The sequence below is a fragment of the Homo sapiens genome, chromosome Y (assembly GCF_000001405.40).
Source record: "Homo sapiens chromosome Y, GRCh38.p14 Primary Assembly".
NCBI lineage: Eukaryota > Metazoa > Chordata > Mammalia > Primates > Hominidae > Homo > Homo sapiens.
Genome location: NC_000024.10, coordinates 1423756 through 1448235, shown reverse-complemented (window position 1 = coordinate 1448235; position 24480 = coordinate 1423756). Strand labels below are relative to the sequence as shown.

Sequence of the window (24480 nt, the reverse complement as noted above, 5' to 3'; positions counted from 1 at the left end):
AGTGTGTGTCCAAGATGGTGTGTGTCCAAGATGGTGGTGCTTATCCAAGATGGCGGTGTGTGTCCAAGATGGTGGTGCTTATCCAAGATGGCGGTGTGTGTCCAAGATGGTGTGTGTCCAAGATGGTGGTGCTTATCCAAGATGGCTGTGTGTGTCCAAGATGGTGTGTGTCCAAGATGGTGGTTCTTATCCAAGATGGCGGTGTGTGTCCAAGATGGTGTGTGTCCAAGATGGTGGTTCTTATCCAAGATGGCGGTGTGTGTCCAAGATGGTGGTGCTTTTCCAAGATGGTGTTGTGTATCCAAGATGGCGGTGTGTCCAAGATGGCGGTGCTTGTCCAAGATGGTGTTATGGGTCCAAGATGGCAGTGTGTGTCCCAGATGGTGTGTGTCCAAGATGGTAGTGCTTATCCAAGATAGCTGTGTGTGTCCAAGATGGTGGTGCTTATCCAAGATGGCGGTGTGTGTCCAAGATGGTGGTGTGTGTCAAAGATGGCCATGCATGTCCAAGATGGCAGTGCTTGTCCAAGATGGTGTGTGTCCAAGATGGTGGTGCTTCTCCAAGATGGCGGTGTGTGTCCAAGATGGTGTGTCTCCAAGATGGTGGTGCTTATCCAAGATGGCGGTGTGTGTCCAAGATGGTGTGTCTCCAAGATGGTGGTGCTTATCCAAGATGGCCGTGTGTGTCCAAGATGGTGTGTGTCCAAGATGGTGGTGCTTCTCCCAGATGGCGGTGTGTGTCCAAGATGGTGGTGCTTCTCCAACATGGCCGTGTGTGTCCAAGATGGTGTGTGTCCAAGATGGTGGTGCTTATCCAAGATGGCAGTGTGTGTCCAAGATGGTGGTGCTTCTCCAAGATGGCCATGTGTGTCCAAGATGTTGTGTGTCCAAGATGGTGGTGCTTATCCAAGATGGCGGTGTGTGTCCAAGATGGTGTAATGGGTCCAAGATGGCAGTGTGTGTCGAAGATGGCAATGCTCCTGCTCTGTGAATCCAGACCCTCTAGTTATAACAGGACGAGGGGTGGTGTGTTCTTTCTGGCCACTTCCTGCTGAGGGAGGTGGTTATTACGGGTCACCAAACACAGCCCTGGAGGGGAAGAGGTTGATTTGTTCCTGGTAGCACTCTTTAGGGGCCTTCCAAGCAGCACCCGTTGAAACATCTAGCTTTTAGTTCACAGGGCTTTAAGAAAGCAGAACTTGGGTTTCAGAGGTTTTCAGTTAGGAAAAATTGGAGAAAAAGAAAAAGGAAAAGAATGCAAAACATTATCTTGGAGACATGTAGCCAGAAAAATTAGAATTTAATTCAAACCGTAGAAAAGAATAAAAACTGAAAACCATTAGGCAAGACTAGAATTTCACGACAGGGGTAACTATAGTTTTTCAAACACGATTTTTCTTTTTCCAGTTTTCCCACTTTTATTAAAAGACAAATTATGGGCTGGGCATGGTGGCTCATGCCTGTAATCCCAGCAGTTTGGGAGGCCGAGGTTGGCGGATCACGAGGTCAGGAGATCGAGACCATCCTGGCTAACATGGTGAAACCCCGTCTCTACTAAAATTACAAAAAATTAGCCGGGCGTGGTGGCGGGCGCCTGCAGTCCCAGCTACTTGGGAGGCTGAGGCAGGAGAATCGCTTGAACCTGGGAGGCAGAGGTTGCAGTGAACCGAGATGGCACCACTGCACTCCAGCCTGGGCGACAGAGCAAGACTCCGTCTCAAAAAAAAAAAAAAAAATGTCATGAGATGTAGGGACCAGCCCCACAGGGTCAGTGGATCTCTCCCTGTGTGCGGAGGCATGAGAGTGTAGAAATAAAGACACAAGACAAAGAGATAAAAGAAAAGGCAGCTGGGCCCGGGGGACCACTACCACCAAGACGCGGAGACTGGTGGTGGTCCCGAATGCCAGGCTGCGCTGATATTTATTGGATACAAGACAAAGGAGCAGGGTAAGGAGTGTGAGCCATCTCCAATGATAGGTAAGGTCACGTGAGTCACGTGTCCACTGGACAGGGGGCCCTTCCCTGCCTGGCCGCCGAGGCAGAGAGAGAGAGGAGAAGGAGAGAAACAGCTTACGCCATTATTTCTGCTTATCAGACACTTTTAGTACTTTCACTAATTTGCTCCTGCTAACTAAAGGCAGAGCCAGGTGTACAGGATGGAACATGAAGGCGGACTAGGAGCGTGTGACCACTGAAGCAAAGCACCACAGGGAGAGGGTTAGGCCTCCGGATAACTGCGGGCGGGTCTGACTGATGTCAGGTCCTCCACAGGAGGTGGAGGAGCAGAGTCTTCTCTAAACCCCCCCAGGGAAAGGGAGACTCCCTTTGGTGACCCCGTCTGGGCATAACAGAAGGCTCGCGCTCGTCTTCTGGTCGCACCTCACCATGTCCCCTCAGCTCCTATCTCTGTATGGCCTGGCTTTTCCTACATTATGATTCTAGAGCAAGGATTATTATAAGATTGGTATAAAGAGTAATTACTACCAACTAATGATTAATGATATTCATATATAACCATATCTAAGATCTATATCTGGTATAACTTTCTCGTTTTATATTTTATCATATACCGGAAGAGCTCGTGTCCTCGGTCTCTTGCCTCAGCACCTGGGTGTCTTGCCGCCCACAATGAGAGGTGCAACTTGACATAGGGAGGGTAGAAGATAGCCTGAGTATAGGGAACCTCTTGCCATTTCCTGGTGATAAAGTTGTCAAGGTCCCTGAGAATTTGCAAGTTAAAGGTGCTATGTTCGGGCCATCTGCTGTCATTATGTAGTTTGTATTGATGCCAGACTATTGCAATAAAAAATTCAACACTCTGGCTTTAGGTTCCTCTGTAAGCCAAGTTTGGCCAGGTTGGAAAGGAGACATCCCAGAGAGGAGGACATAGGAATGTCGGGTTGTTTGGCACCCACGTGGGCTGGTAAAAGGAAGCCGAGAGTGTCTGTTTGTGTTTTAGGCAACCCCAGACAAAAGACAGAGACCCAGAATCCTCTTTATAAGGAGGACGGCCAAGCTGAGAAGATACTGGGCATCCCTCAAGATCGCTTCTAGCTTAGTGCCGCTGGTCCTCCGAGGACTGGGATGGCCGACCTGACTTTTCCTGGGTACCAAAAGTCAGAGGAGGGCAGATCTTACCAGACGGCTGGATTTGTGTCTGATGTTGGATGTTCCTGTTGGAATTGGCAAAGGGGCTCCCAAACTGGAGCCGCGCAGGGAAGACAGAGAGAGAGAGAGAAGAGGGAAGAAGACGGACGAAGAGAGAGGAAGACGAAGCAAGGGTTAGGGAGCGAAATACCTGTTGCAGGGGGTCAGAGGTGGATTTCTGAGACCTGAGGGTTTTGAGAACCCTCCAGCTTGAGCCTCTAAGTCCCCTTTACATGAGTTGTCTTCCTCACACAAATTGCTTGGAAGGTGAATGGAGAGAAAAGATGGGAGGGGTGGCCAGAGACCCTCACGATCCAGGAGTTAGCCCAGGATGAGCTGCTGCTGCCCACAGCTTCCTGGGTTGCAAGAGAACCTCCACTCCCAACACTCAAAGAGGGAGAGAGAGAAAGGACAGGGTCAGAGGGCCAGAGGCTCTAAAGGATCCAGGAGTTAGCCCGGGACAGGCTGCCCCTGCCCACTGCATCCTGGGTTGCAAAAGGGCCTCTGTCCGTAACACCTGTCCTGGGTTTCGGCACCAAATGTAAGAGTTTAAGAAGGAGGAAACAAATATAGAAAGTGAGCCTGGGCGCAGAGGCTCACATCTGTAATCCCAGCACTTTGGGAGGCCGAGGCGGGCGGATCACCTGAGGTCAGGAGTTCGACACCAGCCTGACCAACATGGTGAAACCCCATCTCTATTAAAAATACAAAAATTAGCCGGGTGTGGTGGCGCCCACCTGCAATCCCAGCTACTCGGGAGACTGAGGCAGGAGAATCGCTTGATCCTGGGAGATGGAGCTTGCAGTGAGCCGAGATGGCATCACTGCCCCTCCAGCCTGGGCGACACAGCGAGACTCCGTTTCAAAAAAAAAAAAAAAAATACAAAAAGTGGCTCAGCAAAGGGTTTTGGAAAAGGGGGCTTCTCGCAGGCTCGGAATGTTTCTGTGTGAGGGAAAATTGATTGCGGGGTTGGACTGTCTCTGGTCGGAGGGGAGGTTTCTGGTCACAGAGGGGTTTATCCCACGGCTGGAATGTTTCTGGTCATGCTGACATTAGCCATTAGGCTGATGTTTGGGGGCTGGATTTAGGCAGTTTTTAATCAAGGGAACTTAAAATGGAAGTGTGTGTCCAACATGGCAGTGTCTGTCCAAGACGGGGGTGTCTGTCCAAGATGGCGGTGTGTGTCCATGATGGGGGTGTCTGTCCACGACGGCGGTGTCTGTCCACGATGGTGGTGTGTGTCCTCGATGGCCAAAATGGCGGTGTGTGTCCACGATGGTGTCTGTCCACGATGGGGGTGTGTGTCCACGATGGCCAAGATGGCAGTGTGTGTCCACGATGATGTCTGTCCACGATGGGGGTGTGTGTCCACGATGGCCAAGATGGCAGTGTGTGTCCACGATGGCGGTGTGTGTCCATGATGGCGGTGTGTGTCCATGATGGCGGTGTCTGTCCACGATGGCGGTGTCTGTCCACGATGGCGGTGTCTGTCCAAGATGGCGGTGTGTGTCCATGATGGCGGTGTGTGTCCAAGATGGAGGTGTCTGTCCAAGATGGCGGTGTGTGTCCACAATGACACTGTGTCCATGATGGCCAAGATGGCGGCATGTGTCCACGATGGTGGTGTGTGTCCAAGATGGCGGTGTCTGTCCAAGATGGCGGTGTGTGTCCAAGATGGCGGCGTGTGTCCAAGATGGCGGCGTGTGTCCATGATGGTGGTGTGTGTCCAAGATGGCGGTGTCTGTCCAAGATGGCGGTGTGTGTCCAAGATGGCGGTGTGTGTCCAAGATGGCGGTGTGTGTCCATGATGGCGGTGTGTGTCCAAGACGGCGGCGTGTGTCCACGACGGCGGTGTGTGTGCACGACGACGGTGTGTGTCCCAGATGGCAGTGTGTGTCCACGATGGCGGTGTGTGTCCACGATGGCGGTGTGTGTCCAAGATGGCGGCGTGTGTCCACGACGGCGGTGTGTGTCCACGACGACGGTGTGTGTCCCAGATGGCAGTGTGTGTCCACGACGACGGTGTGTGTCCACGATGGTGGTATGCGTCCAAGATGGTGGTGTCTCTCCAAGATGGCGGTGTGTGTCCAAGATGGCGATGCTTTTGCTCTGTCAGAGGGGAGATGGTCAGAGGGGAGATGCGGAGTTCCCTGCACCCTGGCAGGGTGTGGCAGCCAGGGGCTCCCCCACTGGAGGCATTTACCACCATCATTCCTGACCCCACGGTCTCTGCAGGGGTCACTACCTCTAGGCCAGGCCTCCCCAGGGGCGGTGTTGTCTCTTCCTGGGTACCAGGGATTGACGTAGAGCCATCATTGTCTCCCTTCCCACAGCCATCATTGCTGGCGTTTTTCCTGAATTTCCTGTGGGCAGGTTGGGTTTTGTACTCTGCCCCAACCTTCAGGTCTCTGGGAATCCTCGGACACTGTTGGCTCGTGGGTTCAAGGCCCGAGTCAATACCTCCCTGCTGGCCTCTTTGTTCCTGGCTTCTTCCTTTGCCAATCTCTTCCCTCGAGAGCCAAGAAGGCCCCTGGTCAGTCCCTGAAGGCCCCTGGTCAGTCCGCGGCCCACTAACCACACTTAGGGAAAGCCCTGGTCAGTCCCCGGCTCCCCAGCCACACTTAGGGAAAGCTTGGCGGATGGATGAGCTCACCTGGGACAGGGTCGGGGAGTGTAGCAAACGCTATGTGCGTCCTGCAAATCTTGCATGTCCCATTCACTTTTCATAGGGTCTTTCATTGACCCTTCTGACCCCTTTTCTACTGTTGCAGGGTCTCAGGTTTGAGGTGGTCCCCTCCAAGTTTAAAGAGAAGCTGGACAAAGCCTCCTTCGCTACTCCGTATGGGTACGCCATGGAGACCGCCAAGCAGAAGGCCCTGGAGGTGGCCAACCGGCTGTACCAGGCAAGGGGCCCCTGCCCTTCGGCCCTTATGAAAATTCCTTTGCTGTGATGAGGGGATTTGCGGGTGGTAAATATACATGACACAAATAAACGTCATTCAAAAGATGCAGTTGGTGGCACAGCTTAGCTATTGCTATGTTATAATGTAATGCACTATTGCAGTAACCTAATAATACCATTAATGATACAGAATTAATGGAGCTTATCTGTTACTGTGTGTTATAATATTCTCTTGCAATTGATACAGTATCATTGATGATATACAATTAATGTAGCTTATCTGTTACTATGTGTTATAATAATTTCTCGCAATTGATACAGTATCATTTATGATATACAATTAATGTAGCTTATCTATTACTATGTGTTATAATATCCTCTTGCAATTGATATCATAGTATCATTGATGATACAGAATTAATGTAGCTTATCTATTACTATGTGTTATAATATTGTCACAATTGATATCACAGTATCATTTATGATATAGAATTAATGTAGATTATCTGTTACTATGTGTTATAATATTCTCTTGCAATTGATTTCATAGTATCATTTATGATATAGAATTAATGTAGCTTATCTATTACTATGTATTATAATCTCTTGTGGCCGGTCGCGGTGGCTCATACCTATAATCCTAGCACTTTGGGAGGCCAAGGCGGACAGATCACCTGAGGTCAGGAATTCGAGACCAGCCTGACCAACAGGGTGAAACCCCGTCTCTACTAAACATACAAAAATTAGCTGGGCGTGGTGGCGGGTGCCTGTAATCCCAGCTACTCAGGAGGCTGAGGCAGGAGAATTGCGTGAACCTGGGAGACGGAAGTTGCAGTGAGCCGAGATCATCCCACTGCACTCCAACTTAGGCAACAGAGCAAGACTTCGTCTCCAAAAAATAAAAAATTAAAACAAAAATTATCTTGCAATCAATATAATAGTCTCGTTGATGATATACAATTAATGTAGCTTATCTATTACTATGTGTTATAATATTCTCTTGCAATTAATATAATAGTATCATTTATGATATAGAATTATGTAGCTTATTACCATGCCACTAAGTAATATCGGATTTTAATTAAAATAATATCATTTATAATATAGAATTATGCAGTTTATCTGTTGCTGTATGCTACAATGCAATATACAATTATAATTAATATACTACTATCATTTAAGATTTAAGATTCATGTAGCTTGTTACTATGTTTGAATATAATATTGCAATTAATATAGTAATATCAGTTACGATATAGAATTAACATCCATTACTATGTGTTGTGATACATAGAATTAATATGTTACTGTGTGATACTATGTAATATACTATGACAATTAATATAATTGTATCATAATGTAGAATTATGTCATTTATCTGTTACTATATGCTCCTATGTAATACATATTATTTTAGTAGAGATGGGGCTTCACCATGTTGGCCAGGCTGGTCTCCAACTCCTGACCTCAGGTGATCCACCCGCCTCGGCCTCCCGGAGTGTTGGGATTACAGGCGTGAGCCACCGCACCCCACCGTAATACACTATTATAATTAATACACTACTGTCATTTAGGATGTACAATTAATGTAGCTTATCAATTACTATATGTTATATATGACTCTAACATAATGTCAGTCACAGTATATAAAATTAACATAGCTATTACTGTGTGTTTTAACTTGCTGTTACAATGAATATAATGCTATCATTTAGGATATAGAGTTAATGTAGCTTCCCTGCTGCTGTGTGTTACCACACAATATACCATTACTGTTAATATAAGAAATACATTCGGGGCCGGGTGCAGTGGCTCACACCTGTCATCCCAGCACTTTGGGAGGCCGAGGCGGGCGGATCACGAGGTCAGGAGTTCAAGACCATCCTGGCTCACACGGTGAAACCCCGTCTGTACTAAAAACACACACAAAATATTGGCTGGGCGCGGTGGCGGGCGCCTGTAGTCCCAGCTACTCGGGAGGCTGAGGCGGGAGAATGGCGTGAACCCGGGAGGCGGAGCTTGCAGTGAGCCGAGGTCGCGCCACTGCCCTCCAGCCTGGGCGACAGAGCGAGACTCCATCTCAAAAAAAAAAAAAAAGAAAGAAAGAAATACATTAGAGGTAAGGCTGTTGTGAGTCGTGCTATCAAGACAGGAGTATTGATTGTGGGTTTTGGCAGTGCACAGCTTAGGGAGGCCAGTGCGGGGCTGAGCTAAGGTCAAAGCTGCACACAGATGTCCTGTGACTGCCTGTTGCTCTGAGGCTGAATTTTCAACCTGGATTTGTTTTATCGTCCTAAGTACCTTTTTCTTTTTCTTTCTTTTCCTTGTTTTTTTTTTTCTTTTTTTTTTTGGAGACTGAGTCTCACTCTGTCACCCAGGCTGGAGTGCAGGTGCGCAACCTTGGCTCACTGCAACCTCCGCCTCCTAGGTTCAAGCGATTCTGCTGCCTCAGCCTCCTGAGTAGCTGAGATTACAGGTGCCCGACTGATATTTTGTATTTTTAGTAGAGACGGGGTTTCACCATGTTGGCCAGGCTGGTCTCGAACTCCTGACCTCAGGAGATGCGCCCGCCTCGGCCTCCCAGAGTGCTGGGATGACAGGCGTGAGCCACCGCGCCCAGCCCTAAGTAGCTTTTTCTGAAATTACATTGAACGGATCAAAAACCTTTTGGCCTTAATTCTGGGTAACTCAGGGAGGTTTGGGGCCCCTGAATCAAACCTTACCTGCCGCCCGGAAGAACAAAAGCTTACGGAACAGGCATTGCGTTTCCCGTAGTGCCCGTGAGATGCTCCGTGAGTGCCTGACCCCTGATCACGCAGCCCCCGTGGGCCCCGGCCTCACCCACGTTCCAGCCCCTGCAGGGCGACCACCGGCGGGACCCACTTGTGTCCTTGCTCGTGACCTTGAGCACCCCCAGCCTTCACTTCCAAAGTCGGCCTGGCTTCGCCCCTGCGGTGCTCTTTCACGCCCGTACCGACGGGAAAACTTCTCTGTGAGACCCACGGCACGTCACCGGTAAACCGGAATCTGGTTTTCTTACAGAAAGACCTGCGGGCCCCCGACGTGGTCATTGGAGCGGACACGATCGTGGTGAGTGCGGCCAGGGTGCCTCGTTTCTAATGTCCGATGTGGTTTTCCTGTGCTTGGTGATTCTGCCTCTTGTGGATGTTGTACATTCCCCTTAAGACAGCAGTGGACTCGCTTCCAGAAACTCCCATCACAAACTACCAGCAGATGAGGGGCCTAAGGGCACGGGAAGGGGCCAGGCGCCGTGGCTCACCCCTGTCATCCCAGCATTTTGGGAGGCCGAGGTGGGCGGATCACCTTAGGTCATGGGTTCGAGATCAGCCCGACCAACACGGTAAAACCCCATCTCTACTAAAAATACAAAAATTAGCCAGACGTGGTGGCTAATTGATAGTATCATAAGTGATACTATATGATATCAATTGCAAGAGAATATTATAACACATAGTAACAGATAAGCTACATTAATTCTATATCATCAATGATACAGAATACAGACTCCGCCTGTAATCGCAGCTACTCGGGAGGCTGAGGCAGGGGAATCGCTCGAACCCAGGAGGCGGGGTTGCAGTGAGCCGAGATCGCGCCACTGCACTCCAGCCTGGGTGACAAGAGCGAGACTCCGTCTCAAAAGGCACAGGAAGGTACGCAGTTCTAGAGGCCAGCAACCACAAATCACGGTGTCTGTAGGGTTTCTTCCTTCCAGAGGTACTGAGGAGAAGTTGGTCTTGGTCTTTCTCCAGCTCCTAGAGGCTGTTGGCAACCCATTGTCTCCTTTGGCTCATGGCCCTGTGGTTCCTATCTGTGCCTCCATCTCCATGTGGCCTTCTCCCCTCTGGGTGTCTGTGGCCAAATTTCCCTCTTCTTTTTTTTTTTTGAGAGAGAGTCTCACTGTGTTGCCCAGGCTGGATTACAGTGGCGTGATCTCGGCTCACCGGGACCTCCGCCTCCCGGGTTCAAGCGATTCTCCTGCCTCCTGAGTAGCTGGGATCACAGGCACCCGCCACCACGCCCGGCTGATTTTTGTATTTTTAGTAGAGACGGGGTTTCACCATGTTGGCCAGGCTGGTCTCAAACTCCCGACCTCAAGTGATCTGCCCACCTTAGCCTCCCACAGTGCTGGGATGACAGGCGTGAGCCACCGCGCCCGGCTGAAATTTTCCCCTTCTTTTAACAACACCACTCATAAAATGCGCATCCTAATTCTGTCCAACCGCATCTTAATTACCTAGGCAAAGACCCATTTCTCCTTTTTTTTTTTTTTGAGATGGAGTCTCACTCTGTCGCCAGGCTGGACTGTAGTGGCATGATCTCAGCTCATTGCAACCTCCGCCTCCCGGGTTTCAATGATTCTCCTGCCTCAGCCTCCCGAGTAGCGGGGACTACAGGTGCGCGCGACCACGTGTGGCTAATTTTTTGTATTTTTAGTAGAGACGGGGTTTCACCATGTTGGCCAGGATGGTCTCGATCTCCTGACCTTGTGATCCACCCGCCTCGGCATCCCAAAGTGCTAGGATTACAGGCGTGAGCCACCACGCCCGGCCCATGTCTTTTGTTCATAAGCCACCCAGTCTATGGTATTCTGTGATAGCAGCCTGAAATGGACTAAGACATCTCATAAGAAGAGGAGATGAGGACACAGACACACACAGAGGGACGACCCTGTGAGGACACAGGGGGAAGACGGCGTCTCCAAGCCCAGGAGAGAGGCCTCAGGAGGAACCAGCCCTGCCCACACCTGGATCTCAGACTTCCAGACTCCAGGATTATGGAAGAATCAATGTCTGCTGTTTATAAGCCACCCAGTCTATAGTATTGTTTTAGCAGCCTGAAATGGACTAAGACACCTCATAAGAAGAGCAGATAAGGACACAGACACACACAGAGGGATGACCCTGTGAGGACACAGGGAGAAGACGGCGTCTACAAGCCTAGGAGAGAGGCCTCAGGAGGAACCAGCCCTGCCCACACCTGGATCTCAGACCTCCAGCCTCCAGGGCTGTGGGAGAATCACTGCCTGTTGTTTATAAGCCACCCAGTCTGTGGTATTCTGTGACAGCAGCCTGAGATGGACTAAAGCATCTCATAAGAAGAGGAGATGAGGACACAGATACAGAGGGACGAGTCTGTGAGGACACAGGGAGAAGATGGCATCTCCAAGCCCAGGAGAGAGGCTTCAGGAGGAACCAGCCCTGCCCACACCTGGATCTCGCCCTTCCAGTCTCCACGACGATGGGAGAATCAATGTCTGTAGTTTAAGCCACCTGGGTTGTAGGACTTTGCTATGGTGGCCCAGTCAGACTAATACATCTACTCTTGTATGTACCCAAAAGGATTCAAAACAGGTGTTCCACCAAAACCTTCTACATGAATGTTCACAGCAGCACTATTCACAACAGCTAAAAGGCAGAAACAGCTCAAGTGTCTGTCAGTGGGTAAATGGGAAATTACAACATGGTCCATCCACACACAGTGGAATATTATGCAGCCATGAACAGGAATGAGGCTGGCCGGGTGCGGTGGCTCACCCCTGTCATCCCAGCACTTTGGGAGGCCGAGGCGGGTGGATCACAAGGTCAGGAGATCGAGACCATCCTGGCCAACATGGTGAAACCCCGTCTCTACTAAAAATACAAAAAATTAGCCGGGTGTGGTGGCGGGCGCCTGTAGTCCCAGCTACTCGGGAGGCTGAGGCAGGAGAATGGCGTGAACCCGGGAGGCGGAGCTTGCAGTGAGCCGAGATCGCGCCACTGCACTCCAGCCTGGGTGATAGAGCGAGACTCTGTCTCAAAAAATAAATAAATAAAAAATAACAAAAATTAGCCAGGCATGGTGGTGTGCACCTGTATTCCCAGCAACTCGGGAGGCTGAGGCAGGAGAATCACTTGAACCCCGGAGGCGGAGGTTGCAGTGAGCCAAGACCGTGCCACTGCACTCCAGCCTGGGCGACAGAGTGAGACTCCATCTCAAGAAAAGGAAAGGAACGAGGCTGTGAAACAGGCTGCAACATGGATGAATGTTGAGGACATCACGGTCAGTGACAGAAACCAGCCCCGGAGGACCACACGTTGCAGGATTCCATGACTACACCACGTCCGCAACAGGCAAACGCACGGTGAAAGAAAGAGGATGGGCGGTTACCAGGATCTGGGGAGGCGCACTGGGGAGGGACAGCTGCGTGGGGACAGGGTCTCCTTCTGGAGTGAAGAGAACATCCTGGAACCAGGCAGGTAGTGGTGGTACAACATGGCAACTCTGGTTAGTTGTTTGAAATGGCGACTCTCAGGACGTGTCAGCTTCATTTCCATAAAACAAGTGACTTCTGCGAATGGGACCGTGGGACTTGCACAGGCCTGACCCAGCCGGTGGGAACCAACTCCCTCTGTCCCTTCCTCTCACAGACAGTCGGGGGGCTGATTCTGGAGAAGCCGGTGGACAAGCAGGACGCCTACAGGATGCTGTCCCGGTAAGCACCATGTTGGCCTCTGAGCCCTCTCGGGTTCTGAGCCACAGAGTAGCTGTGGTATCTGGCCGGGTGTCCTGGGGAGCAGGGTGGATCTCTGTCAGCTCTGCCGTCTGAGCTGTGCTGTCTGAGCTGTGCTGTCTGAGCTATGCAGGGAGGCAGGCACTATCCCTCCATGCTCATCCTTGTCTAGGATTCTGCAGCACTGATCCCAGAATGTCTCATGCCCACTGCAGACTGTTGGGGTCATGAGAAGTTGGCAGTGTCCTGTCCTTCCCACTGGGCATCCTGGACCTGAGCCCGTAGCCTGGGACGTCATCCCCATCCCAGGACGTGGAAGAGATGCACCCCCTGCCCGCCATAGGCCCAGCTGAGAGCTGCCTGGCCTGGCGCCTCCCGTCAGGGCCACTGCTGGTGGGATTTGTGACCCCTTCCCTCGGCCTCTCCGTAAAGGTTTCCCTGGAGACCCCACAGCGGGACGATCGGGGAGAAGATGCTGGGGACGGATCCAGGATTAAGGACGCCTCGCTGCCTCCCCTGGTTTTGAGAAACTCGCTTTGTAGCTCCCACGGGTCACAGCATGGTCACGTGGTCACCCGTTGTTGTCTTACAGGTTGAGTGGGAGAGAACACAGCGTGTTCACAGGTGTCGCGATCGTCCACTGCTCCAGCAAAGGTAACCGCGGCCCAGGTTTCGGGGTAGCCCCAGAGGCCGAGACAAGGACCCGGGACATTCTCGGGACCCTTGGCTTGAGGGAGGAGGACGGTTGCTCACCCCCACCTGTGGAGGGGTTTGTGCCTATGTCCTGCTTGGGAAAGTTGTCCGCCGATTTGGAAGTCTGCAGGACAAAGGAAAACGTGTGGTTTTATCTTTTTCTTTTTCTTTCTTTTTTTTTTTTTTTTGAGATGGAGTCTCGCTCTCTTACCCAGGCTGGAGGGCAGTGGCACGATCTCAGCTCACTGCAACCTCCGCCTCCCAAGTTCAAGTGATCCTTCTGCCTCAGTAGCTGGGATTACAGGTGCCCACCACCATGCCCGGCTAATTTTTGTATTTTTAGTAGAGACGGGGTTTCACCATGTTGGCCAGGCTGGTCTCGAACTCCTGACCTCAGGTGATCCACCCGCCTCAGCCTCCCAAAGTGCTGGGATTACAGGTGTGAGCTACTGCACCCGGCCTTTCTCTTTCTTTCTTTCTTTTTTTTTTTTTTGAGACAGGGTCTCCCTCTGTCACCCAGGCTGGAGTGCAGTGGTGTGATCATAGCTCACTGCAGCCTCGACCTCCTGAGCTCCAGCGATCCTCCCGCCTCAGCCCCTACAGTCACAGAAACTACAGGCACACGCCACCACACCTGGCTCATTTTTGTATTTTTTATAGAGGTGCGGTCTTGCTATGTTGCCCAGACTGGTCTCGAACTCCTGGGCTGAAGAAATCCTCCCATCTCAGCCTCCCAAAGTGCTGGGACTGCAGGTGTTCACCATATTGCTGGGACTGCAGGTGTGCACCACGGTGCCCGGCCCAGGCAGTTGTATCACCATATTGCTGGGTTCTTCCTGCACCAACCCATTCCCAGCTTGTTGGCGGACACCAGGAGGCATCGTAGAATTCAGTCAGTTCTGACAGTAGCCGTCGGAGTTAGCGCAGATCCCACAGGTGAAGGGCCGGGTCCCATGGGACCTCCACGCACAATCCCAGCCCCATATCCCTGGTCACACCTGTAGTTTTCTCACCCACCTGCCGCTCACTGCTGGCTCCTGCAAGCACCTGCTCAGGTTGGGTCATTTGCTCGAGGGGCTCACAGAACTCGGGACAGCACTTTCCTTCCCAGCTTGGGGTTTTGTTATGAAGGAGCAGGTCAGGAAGTGCCAGACAGAAGCCAGGCACAGCGCAGGGTGCTGGGTGCAGGATGTATGGAGCCTCCATGCCCGCCGTGGCACAGCTCTGCCAACACCCTGATGTGTTCACCCACCAGAAGCTCCCTGAACCCTGTCCTTCTGGGTCTCTTTTTTTTTTCTTTTTTGTGACAGAGTCTCGCTTTATCGCCCAGGCTAGAGTGCACTTGCGCCATCTCGGCTCACTGCAAGCTCCGCCTCCCGGGTTCACGCCCTTCTCCTGCCTCAGCCTCCCGAGTAGCTGGGACGACGGGCCCGCCACCACGCCCGGCTAATTTTTTCTATTTTTTTTTTTTTTTTTTTTTTAGTAGAGACGGGGTTTCACCGTGGTAGCCAGGAGGGTCTCGATCTCCTGACCTTGTGATCCGCCCGCCTCGGCCTCCCAAAGTGCTGGGATGACAGGCGTGAGCCACCGCGCGCGGTCCCTTCTGGGTCTCTTAAAAGGCCAGGATTAACGACATCATCCGCCACTGGGGAGCAAACTCCATCTCCAGCCCCCTCCCCCTGTTCCCATGACAACCAAAGCCTGCCCTTTCCAAAAGGCCCCTCATTAACATAAGGTCCCCTGCGGATGAAAGGGGCTTGTCACCACATAGCAAAACGCCTGCTTTCGCTCCTGTCACTCAACAGATTCCCCGGGATTCAGGGGCTCTGTGTCCGGACCCTGAGGCACAGACCAAACATCTGTTTCTTTTATTATTTATTTATTTGAGACAGAGTCTCGCTCTGTCGCCCAGGCTGCAGTACAGTGGCGTGATCTTGGCTCACTGCAACCTCCGCCTCCCGGGTTCAAGCGATTCTCCTGCCTCAGCCTCCCGAGTAGCTGGGATGACAGGTGCATGCCACCACGCCCGGCTAATTTTTGTATTTTTAGTAGAGACGGGGTTTCGCCATGTTGGCCAGGCTGGTCTCGAACCCCTGGCCTCTGGTGATCCATCCGCCTCGGCCGCCCAAACTGCTGTTTCTTTTGTTTTTTTTAGAGACGGAGTCTCGCTCTGTGGCCCAGGCTGGAATGCAGGGGCGCGATCTCGGCTCACTGCAACCTGCACCTCCCGGGTTCAAGCGATTCTCCTGCCTCAGCCTCCCGAGTAGCTGGGACTACAGGCACCTACTACCAGGCCTGGCTAATTTTTTGTATTTTTAGTAGAGACGGGGTTTCACCGTGTTAGCCAGGATGGTCTCGAACTCCTGACCTCGTGATCCACCCGCCTCGGCCTCCCAAGGTGCTGGGATGACAGGCGTGAGCCACCGCGCCCGGCCCCTTTCTCCCTTTTCTTGTCCGAAATGAACCTTATTCTCCCATGAAGCATCCATATCTGAACTGTGCGCTGCGCTCGAGTACACACCTCCACAGCACAGCCACGCAGCTGTCAGGGCACGGAGGTGACAAGCTGGCGTCCACGCTCACCCCCACGGCTGTGTCCTTGCAGACCATCAGCTGGACACCAGGGTCTCGGAATTCTACGAGGAAACGAAGGTGAAGTTCTCGGAGCTGTCCGAGGAGCTGCTCTGGGAATACGTCCACAGCGGGGAGCCCATGTGAGTCTCGGGGGCGGTGGGGGGACGGGGGACACGTGTGGAAGCCTGGCCACCCTCACACGTGGGGTGTCCCACCCAGCCTTTGGGAAAGAAGGAGGCCCCGCTCCGGGGGCCGTGTGGCACAGGGAGAGCCGCCCGGCTCAGAAGCACAAACCCTTCACGACCACACTGACCCATGGAGGCTCAAAGAGGCAAACTCCCAGGACAGAGAGGGGCAGGGTGGGAGCCAACGCTGGGCTGCGGTGGGGACTGGGGAGGCGCTGGGCAGGGGTAGAGGAGTTCACGTGGTGGGAGGAGGAGACCCCAGAGGTCTGTGCCCAGGACGCTGGCTGCAATTAACACGAATAAACTCTGTGATCCAAAGTCACCCTAAGAGGTGATTCTACCTGTCGTCCCGTCCACAGATTGGTGAGCACGGGAAGTATGCGTGCACCAATCAGCTTCACTTCATCACCCACCATTTGCGTTTATATGTATTATATTTATCTACATCATATGTCATATAATGTCTACATAATTATACATTATATAATGTAACATGATATATATTTACAATTATATATAATTTATGTATTCCACATTATATATTCTATTAATTATATATAATCTACATTATACAAATTATATAATATATATTTATAATATATTGTATTATATACTATAATAGATTATACTGTAATATGTATACTATATTACATATAGATATTATAATATAGATTATATATTAACACTTTTGATTGAAATTTAATGATTTTTAATGATTAATTTTAATAAGTAGTGATTAATATTAATGTAATATATACCATCTATTATAATATATACTGTTATAATAGATTATATGATAGGTTATATAACTGTTAAAATAGATTATATAATAGGTAGTTATAATCGATTATAATTATATATAAATTATATAATTTATATTTATAATTATTTATAATTATATATAAAATATATAATTTTATATATTTTATATATTTAATTTTATTTATATATAAATATATAATTACATATATTTATAATTATATATAAATATAATTTATAATTATATATAATTAATTATAAATGATATATAATTATATATAATTATAAACAATTATATAAATATAAATTATATATAATTATATATATAATTATAAAATGATTATATATTATAAAATATAATTATATATTTATATAATATAGAAATATATGAATATATGGATAATATGTAATATGTATTAAATATGATTAATATATGTAACTGCATATTAATACATATTACATAATAATATAAAGTGTGATTATATGTAAATTATATATTAATTAAATATATGTAATACATATTAGTTATATATAATATATAATGTATTATGTGTTATATAAATATATAATTATATAAAATATATTTTTATATTATAAAAGTATATAAATATATAAATATATGTATATAAATACATTTGTATAAAATATATGTTTATTTTATATATTTATATAAATAATTTTATTTATTTTTTTGAGACACGGTCTCACTCTGTCACCCAGGCTGGAGTGCAGTGGTACAGTCATAGCTCACTGCAGCGTCAGCCTCTTGAGTCAAAATGATCCTCTCACCTCAGCCCCACTAGTGGCTGGGTCTGCAGACGCATACCACCACGCCTGGCTAATTTTTTCTATTTTTTGTAGCAATGGGGTCTCACTATGTTGCCCAGGCTGGTCTTGAACTCCTGGGCTCAGGCGATCCTTCCACCAAAGCCTCCTGAGTAGGTGGGACCACAGGACACGCACCAACACACGCGGCCGATTTTATTGTTAGTTTTTGTAGAGATGGAGTCTGCGTAATATATATGTATATTAACCTAGAGGATTTTACATCAATTGAAATAAGCCCGGCAGAAGAAGACACATACCACAGGATCTCACTTATATGGAATATAAAACAGTTGCACTTGGTCAAAGGATACAAGATTTAAATCAGGGCCAGGCATGGTGGCTCACGCCTGTCATCCCAATACTTTGGGAGGCCGAGGCAGGCGGATCACCTGAGGTCAGAAGTTCAAGACCAGCCTGGATATGGCAAATCCCAATCTCTACTAAAAATACAAAAATTAGCCCGGTGTGGTGGCAGGTGCCTGTAATCCCAGCTACCCAGGAGGCTGAGACAGGAGAATCGCTTGAACCCAGCAGGTGGAGGTTGCAGTGAGCCGAGATCGCGCCACTGCACTCCAGCCTGGGCAACAGAGCGAGACTCCGTCTTTTAAAAAAAAAAAATTAAGTGAGACGGGAGAAGTTCAAGGCTCTTTACAGCCTAGTGACTGTGGTTTACAGGAACAGTGTCTTACTGGAAAATTGCCAGCACACTACATCTGAAGTCTTCTCCCCACACACACAGAATAGGTACATGAGGTGCTCGATGGGATAATTGGCTTGATTTAATGATGTCACATGTATACATATATCAAAACATCCCATTTAACACATGAAATTTTTTTTGAGACGGAGTCTTCCTCCGTCACCCAGGCTGGAGTGCAGTGGCGCGATCTTGGCTCACTGCAACCTCCACCTTCCAGTTTCAAACGATTCTCCTGCCTCAGCTTCCCAAGTAGCTGGGACTACAGGCACCCACCGCCACGCCTGGCGAATTTTTTATTTTTAGTAGAGAAGGGGTTTTGCCATGTTGGCCAGGCTGGTCTCGAACTCCTGACCTCAGGTGATCTGCCTGCCTCAGCCTCCCGAAGTGCTGGGAGCCACCGCGCCCAGCCCAACACCTGCACTTTCATACATACTTTAATGTTTACATACATTTAAAGAAAGACAGGCCGGGCACAGTAGCTCAAGCCAAGACGGGAGGATCACTTCATCCCAGGAGTTCGAGACCAGCCTGGGCAACAGAGTGAAACCCCATCTTTATAAAAAATGATAAAACTAGCTGAGTGTGTCCCTGCTACGTGGGAGGCTGAGATTACAGCATCATTTGAGCCCAGAATTTTGAGGGAGCAGAGAACCAAGAATGTACCACTGCACTTCAGCCTGAGCAACCGAGTGAGACCCTGTCTTGAAAAAAAAAAATAGATAAAATAAGAAAGAGAAAAGAGGGCCAGACGTGGTGGTTCACACCTGTAATCCCAGCACTTTGGGGGGCCGAGGCAGGCGCATCACCTGAGGTCAGGAGTTCGAGACCATCGTGGCCAACATGGTGAAACCCCGTCTCTACTAAATACAAAAATTAGCCGGGTGTGTTGGCAGGTGCCTGTCATCCCAGCTACCCGGGAGGCTGAGGCAGGAGAATCGCTTGAACCCAGGAGGCGGAGGTTGCAGGGAGCCGAGATCGCGCCACTGCACTCCAGCCTGGGCGACAGAGCGAGACTCTGTCTTTAAAAAATAAAAATAAAAAATAAAAAAGTGAGACAGGAGGAAGAAGTTCAAGGCTCTTTACAGCCTGTGACTGTGGTTTATAGGAACAGTGTCTTACTGGTAAATTGCCAGCACACTAGATCTGAAGTCTTCTCCCCACACACACACACACAATTCGTAGATGAGATGCTGAATGGGATAATTGGCTTGATTTAATGATGACGCATGTATACATATGTCAAAACATCCCATTTAACACATGAAATTTTATTTATTTATTTATTTATTTGAGACGGAGTCTTCCTCTGCCGCCCAGGCTGGAGTGCAGTGGCACGATCTCGGCTCACTGCAACCTCCTCCTCCTGGGTTCAAGTGATTCTCCTGTCTCAGCCTCCTGGGTAGCTGGGATTACAGGCGTGTGCCACCACACCACACCCGGCTAATTTTTGTATTTTTAGTAGAGATGGGGTTTCACCGTGTTGGCCAGGCTGGTCTTGAACTTCTGACCTCAAGTAATCCACCCGTCTCGGCCTCCCAAAGTGCTGGGATTACAGCCGTGAGCCATTGCGCCCAGCCTTGCTGTGAAATTGTTTTTCTTTTTTTTTTTTTTTTTGAGATGCCAAAGGCGCCTGCCCCCACGCCTGGCTAATTTTTTGTATTTTTTTTAGTAGAGACAGGGTTTCACTGTGTTAGCCAGGATGGCCTCGATCTCCCGACCTCGTGATCCACCCACCTCCGCCTCCCAGCCGTGAAATGTTCAGACCCAGGAACTTTTCTCCTCCTTGTCACCTCTTACCTTCCCCTGCCCACCCAGGGACAAAGCTGGCGGCTACGGGATCCAGGCCCTGGGCGGCATGCTGGTGGAGTCCGTACACGGGGACTTTCTGAACGTGGTGGGATTCCCGCTGAACCACTTCTGCAAGCAGCTGGTGAAGCTCTACTACCCGCCCCGTCCGGAGGACCTGCGGCGGAGTGTCAAGCACGACTCCATCCCGGCCGCGGACACCTTCGAAGACCTCAGTGACGTGGAGGGGGGCGGCTCGGAGCCCACTCAGAGGGACGCGGGCAGCCGCGATGAGAAGGCCGAGGCGGGAGAGGCGGGACAGGCCACGGCAGAGGCTGAGTGTCACAGGACTCGGGAGACCCTGCCTCCGTTCCCGACACGCCTCCTGGAGCTGATTGAGGGCTTTATGCTATCCAAGGTACCTGTGTCTGTCTCCTCAGGCCACATTTCACAAATGAGCCTACACACTCGGCTTAAATCAAAGGGAATTTACTTCTCACTGTCCTGGAGGCTGGCAGTCTGAGGTCAGGTTGTCTCAGGGCCATGCTTTCTCCGAAGGTTCTAGGAGAGGGTCCTTCCTGCCTCTCCCAGCTCCTGACAGCTCCAGGCATCCCTGGGCTTGTGGCCGCATCACTCCAGTCTCTGCCACGTCCTCCACGTGGCCTCATCCACTGTGTCTGTGTCTCCTCCTCTGTCTCTTAGAAGGACACCTGTCATTGGACTTGGAGTCCACCCTTCTTCGTGATGATTTCCTCTTGAGATTCTTAATTACATCTGCCAAGACCCCTTTTTAAAACAAGGTCCCATTCACAGATTCTGGGGATCAGGATATGGACAGATCTTTCAGGAGGACCACAGTTCAGTCCACTACAGATGTATCCAGTTCCTTCTGGAGGCCCCAGGGGAGGGTCCTTCCTGCCTCTCCCAGCTCCTGGGGGCTCCAGGCATCCCTGGGCTTGTGGCCGTATCACTCCAGTCTCTGCCTTTGTCTCCACGTGGCCTTCTCCTCTGTGTCTGTGTCTCTTCTGTCTCTTAGAAGGACACCTGTCATTGGATTTTGAGGTCTCCCTAATCCACTGACTCCAACTCATCTGAAGTCCCCTAGCTTACTTACGTCTGCAAAGACCCTTTTTTCTTTTTCTCTTTTTTTTGTTTTTGTTTTTGTTTTTGAGACAGAGTCTGGCTCTGTCATCCAGGCTGGAGTGCAGTGGCATGATCTCGGCTCACTGCAACCTCTGCCTCCCGGGTTCAAGCGATTCTCCTGCCTCAGCCTCCTAACTGTGGTCCTCCTGAAAGATCTGTTCATAGCCTGATCCCCAGAATCTGTGAATGGGACCTTGTTTTAAAAAGGGGTCTTAGCAGATGTAATTAAGAATCTCAAGAGGAGATCCTGAGTAGCCTCAGGAGTAGCCTCCTGATTACAGGCGCCCACCACCAAGCCCGGCTAATTTTTGTACTTTTAGTAGAGACAGGGTTTCGCTATGTTGGCCAGGATGGTCTCGAACTCCTGACCTCAGCTGATCCACCCGCCTCGGCCTCCTAAAGTGCTGGGATTACAGGCGTGAGCCAGCGCGCCCGGCCTGAGGCCCCATCTTTCAGCTGTTCTGTTCAGGGGCCCCTCACGGTGGCAGCCTAGAAGGGATGCAGCCCTCCCAACACCAGGGGTCCCTCACAGGGCGTCCTCCGGGAAGCAGAGGTGGGGATGTCGGGTGCAGGAGGGACGCAGGCTTTGGGAGACAGGGAGACGGGCTGATGACACCTCCTGCCATTCATCATCAGGAGAGAGAACATGCAGTGAATAAGGAATAAAGGTGGTTACAGCACATTCCGTCTGTGCCTCTAATTTACCAAGTGGTGATTATTAAATCACCACCAGGTGGTTTATAAACAACAGACATTGATTCTCCCACAGTCCTGGAGGCTGGAGGTCCAAGATCAACGTGTGGGCAGGGCTGGTTCCTCCTGAGGCCTCTCTCCTGGGCTTGGAGATGCTGTCTTCTCCCTGTGTCCTCACAGGGTCGTCCCTGTGTGTGTGTCTGTGTCCTCATCTCCTTTTCTTATAGGGACCCCAGTCCTATTGGATTAGGGTCCACCCAAATGACCTCATTTTACCTGAATCACTTCTTTAAAACCCTGCCTACAAATACAGTCACATCCTGAGGGACTGGGGGGATTAGGAGTTCAACATCTGGGTTTTGAACTCAGTCCATATCGGCAGCATGTTGATTTTTCTCCCATGGGCTAGTTTTTCTGCATGATATTCGTTGATGTGCTTTTTCCTTGTGTACACCTTGTTTTATAGCTGGGGACTTGATCCTATAAATCCCCACCGTTCTCTGTGAAAGAAGGCTCAATGGCCAAGTTGTATACTTCCGACAGCGTTGGCCTCCATCTTTTGAGTCTGTGGGAGTAGAAAGTACTGGACAAGGGACTTAATGAGTCTCTCTGCACTTGCTTTTAACAGGGCCTGCTCACCGCTTGCAAACTGAAGGTGTTCGATTTGTTAAAAGATGAAGCACCCCAGAAGGCTGCGGATATTGCCAGCAAAGTGGACGCCTCTGCGTGTGGAATGGAGAGGCTTCTGGACATCTGTGCTGCCATGGGGCTCCTGGAGAAGACAGAGCAAGGTGACAGGACCCAGCGGGTTTTGCTCTGAGGATCTTTGCAGGTGGAAGTCACTGAGGGAAGGTGACCTGGAGCCTGGGCAGAGCGAGGAAGGAGGCCCACACCTTCTGTCCCTCTGCCCTCAGGAATGCTGCTTTTCCCGAAAGGTTGAGAAGCAGAGGGTGAATGACAGAGAGGGAACAGTGGCAGCCGCGAGCACATAGGAGAAGCGTGACCTCCTTATGGGCTCTAGTCTCAAAGGGGCTGTATCAGTCCATGTTCTCCTGAGAAACAGAACCCAATACGGTGTACACAGACATTGATTTAGTTGCTTATTTATTTTTATAGACAAATAACGTAGATGGATGGGTAGACAGATACATAGATAGATGATAAATGCATAGATACATTGATATAGATTGACGATAGAGAGATGACAGATACATAGATGATGGGTAGAGTTGATATATAAATGGATGGATGGATAGATGGATGGATGGATGGTAGGTGGATAGATGGGAGGAAGGATGGATGGATGGATGGATGGATGGTAGGTGGATAGATGGATGGGAGGAGGGATGGATGGATGGATGGATGGACAGATGGATTGATCAATGGATGGATAGATACATGGATGGGAAGGTGGATGGATTGGTGGATCAGTGGATGGGTGGATGGATGGGTGGGTGGGTGGATGGATAGATGGATGGATGGAGAGGTGGATGGATAAATGGAAGGGTGGGTAGATGGGTGGGTAAGTGGATGGATGGGTGGATGGATGAGTGGGTGAGTGGATAGATGGATGGATGTGTGAATGGAAGGATGTGTGGATGGATGGGTGGATGACTGGATGGATAAAGGTGGGTAGATGGATGGATGGATCGATGAATCGGTGGATGAGTGCATAGATGGGTGGGTAAGTGGATGGATGGGTGGATGGATAAGTGGGTGAGTGGATGGGTGGCTGGATGGATGGATGGACGGACAGATGGATGGATGGATGGATGTGTGGATGGATGGGTGAGTGGATAGATGTGTGGATAGATGGATGAGTGGGCGTGTGGATGGGTGGGCGTGTGAATGGATGGATGAGTGGATGGATGGGTGCACGGCTGGGTGGATGATTGGGAGTGTGGGTGAATAGACGGATGGGTGGGTGGACAGATGGATGGGAGGGTGGATGAACAGATATATCAGTGGATCGGTGGTTGGGTAGCTGGGTGGGGGAATGGATGGATGAATGGGTAGGTGGGTGGTTGGATGGGTGGATGGATGAGTGGGCATGTGGATGAGTGCATGAATGGATGGACGGGTGCATGGCTGGGTGGATGATGGGGAGGGTGGGTGAACAGATGGGTGGGTGGGTGGGTGGATGGATGGATGGATGAGTGATTGGATGGGTGGGGGAATGAATGGATAAATGGATGTGGATGGATGGATGCATGCATGGGTGGATGGATCAGTGGATCCATCAGTGGATGGGTGGATGGATGGGTAGGTGGGTGGGTGGATGGATGGATGGATGGACAGATGGATGGATGAGTGATTGGATGGGTGGGGGAATGAATGGATAAATGGATGTGGATGTATGGATGCATGCATGGGTGCATGGATCAGTGGATCCATCAGTGGATGGGTGAATAGATGGATGGGTAGGTGGATGGATGGATGAGTGGGCATGTGGATGGGTGGGCGTGTGAATGGATGGATGAGTGGATGGATGGGTGCATGGCTGGGTGGATGATTGGGAGGGTGGGTGAATAGATGGATGGGTGGGTGGACGGATGGATGG

At 50.0% G+C, this 24480-nt stretch overlaps 1 protein-coding gene across 3 annotated transcripts in view; it reads left to right on the top strand.

The window, feature by feature from the left end:
- ASMTL (acetylserotonin O-methyltransferase like) overlaps positions 1–24480 on the top strand; it is a 50618-nt gene that overhangs the window by 5521 nt on the left and 20617 nt on the right. For 2 of the 3 annotated variants that reach the window (NM_001173473.2, NM_004192.4), the window contains exons 2-8: positions 5919–6050; positions 9092–9139; positions 12478–12542; positions 13153–13214; positions 15859–15967; positions 20115–20502; positions 22549–22711. In NM_001173473.2, coding sequence (NP_001166944.1) covers positions 6000–6050; positions 9092–9139; positions 12478–12542; positions 13153–13214; positions 15859–15967; positions 20115–20502; positions 22549–22711 — 886 coding nt within the window. In that variant the 5' untranslated portion in view covers positions 5919–5999. The remainder of the gene's footprint in view (positions 1–5918; positions 6051–9091; positions 9140–12477; positions 12543–13152; positions 13215–15858; positions 15968–20114; positions 20503–22548; positions 22712–24480) is intronic. The other variant, NM_001173474.2, reaches the window with a different exon arrangement.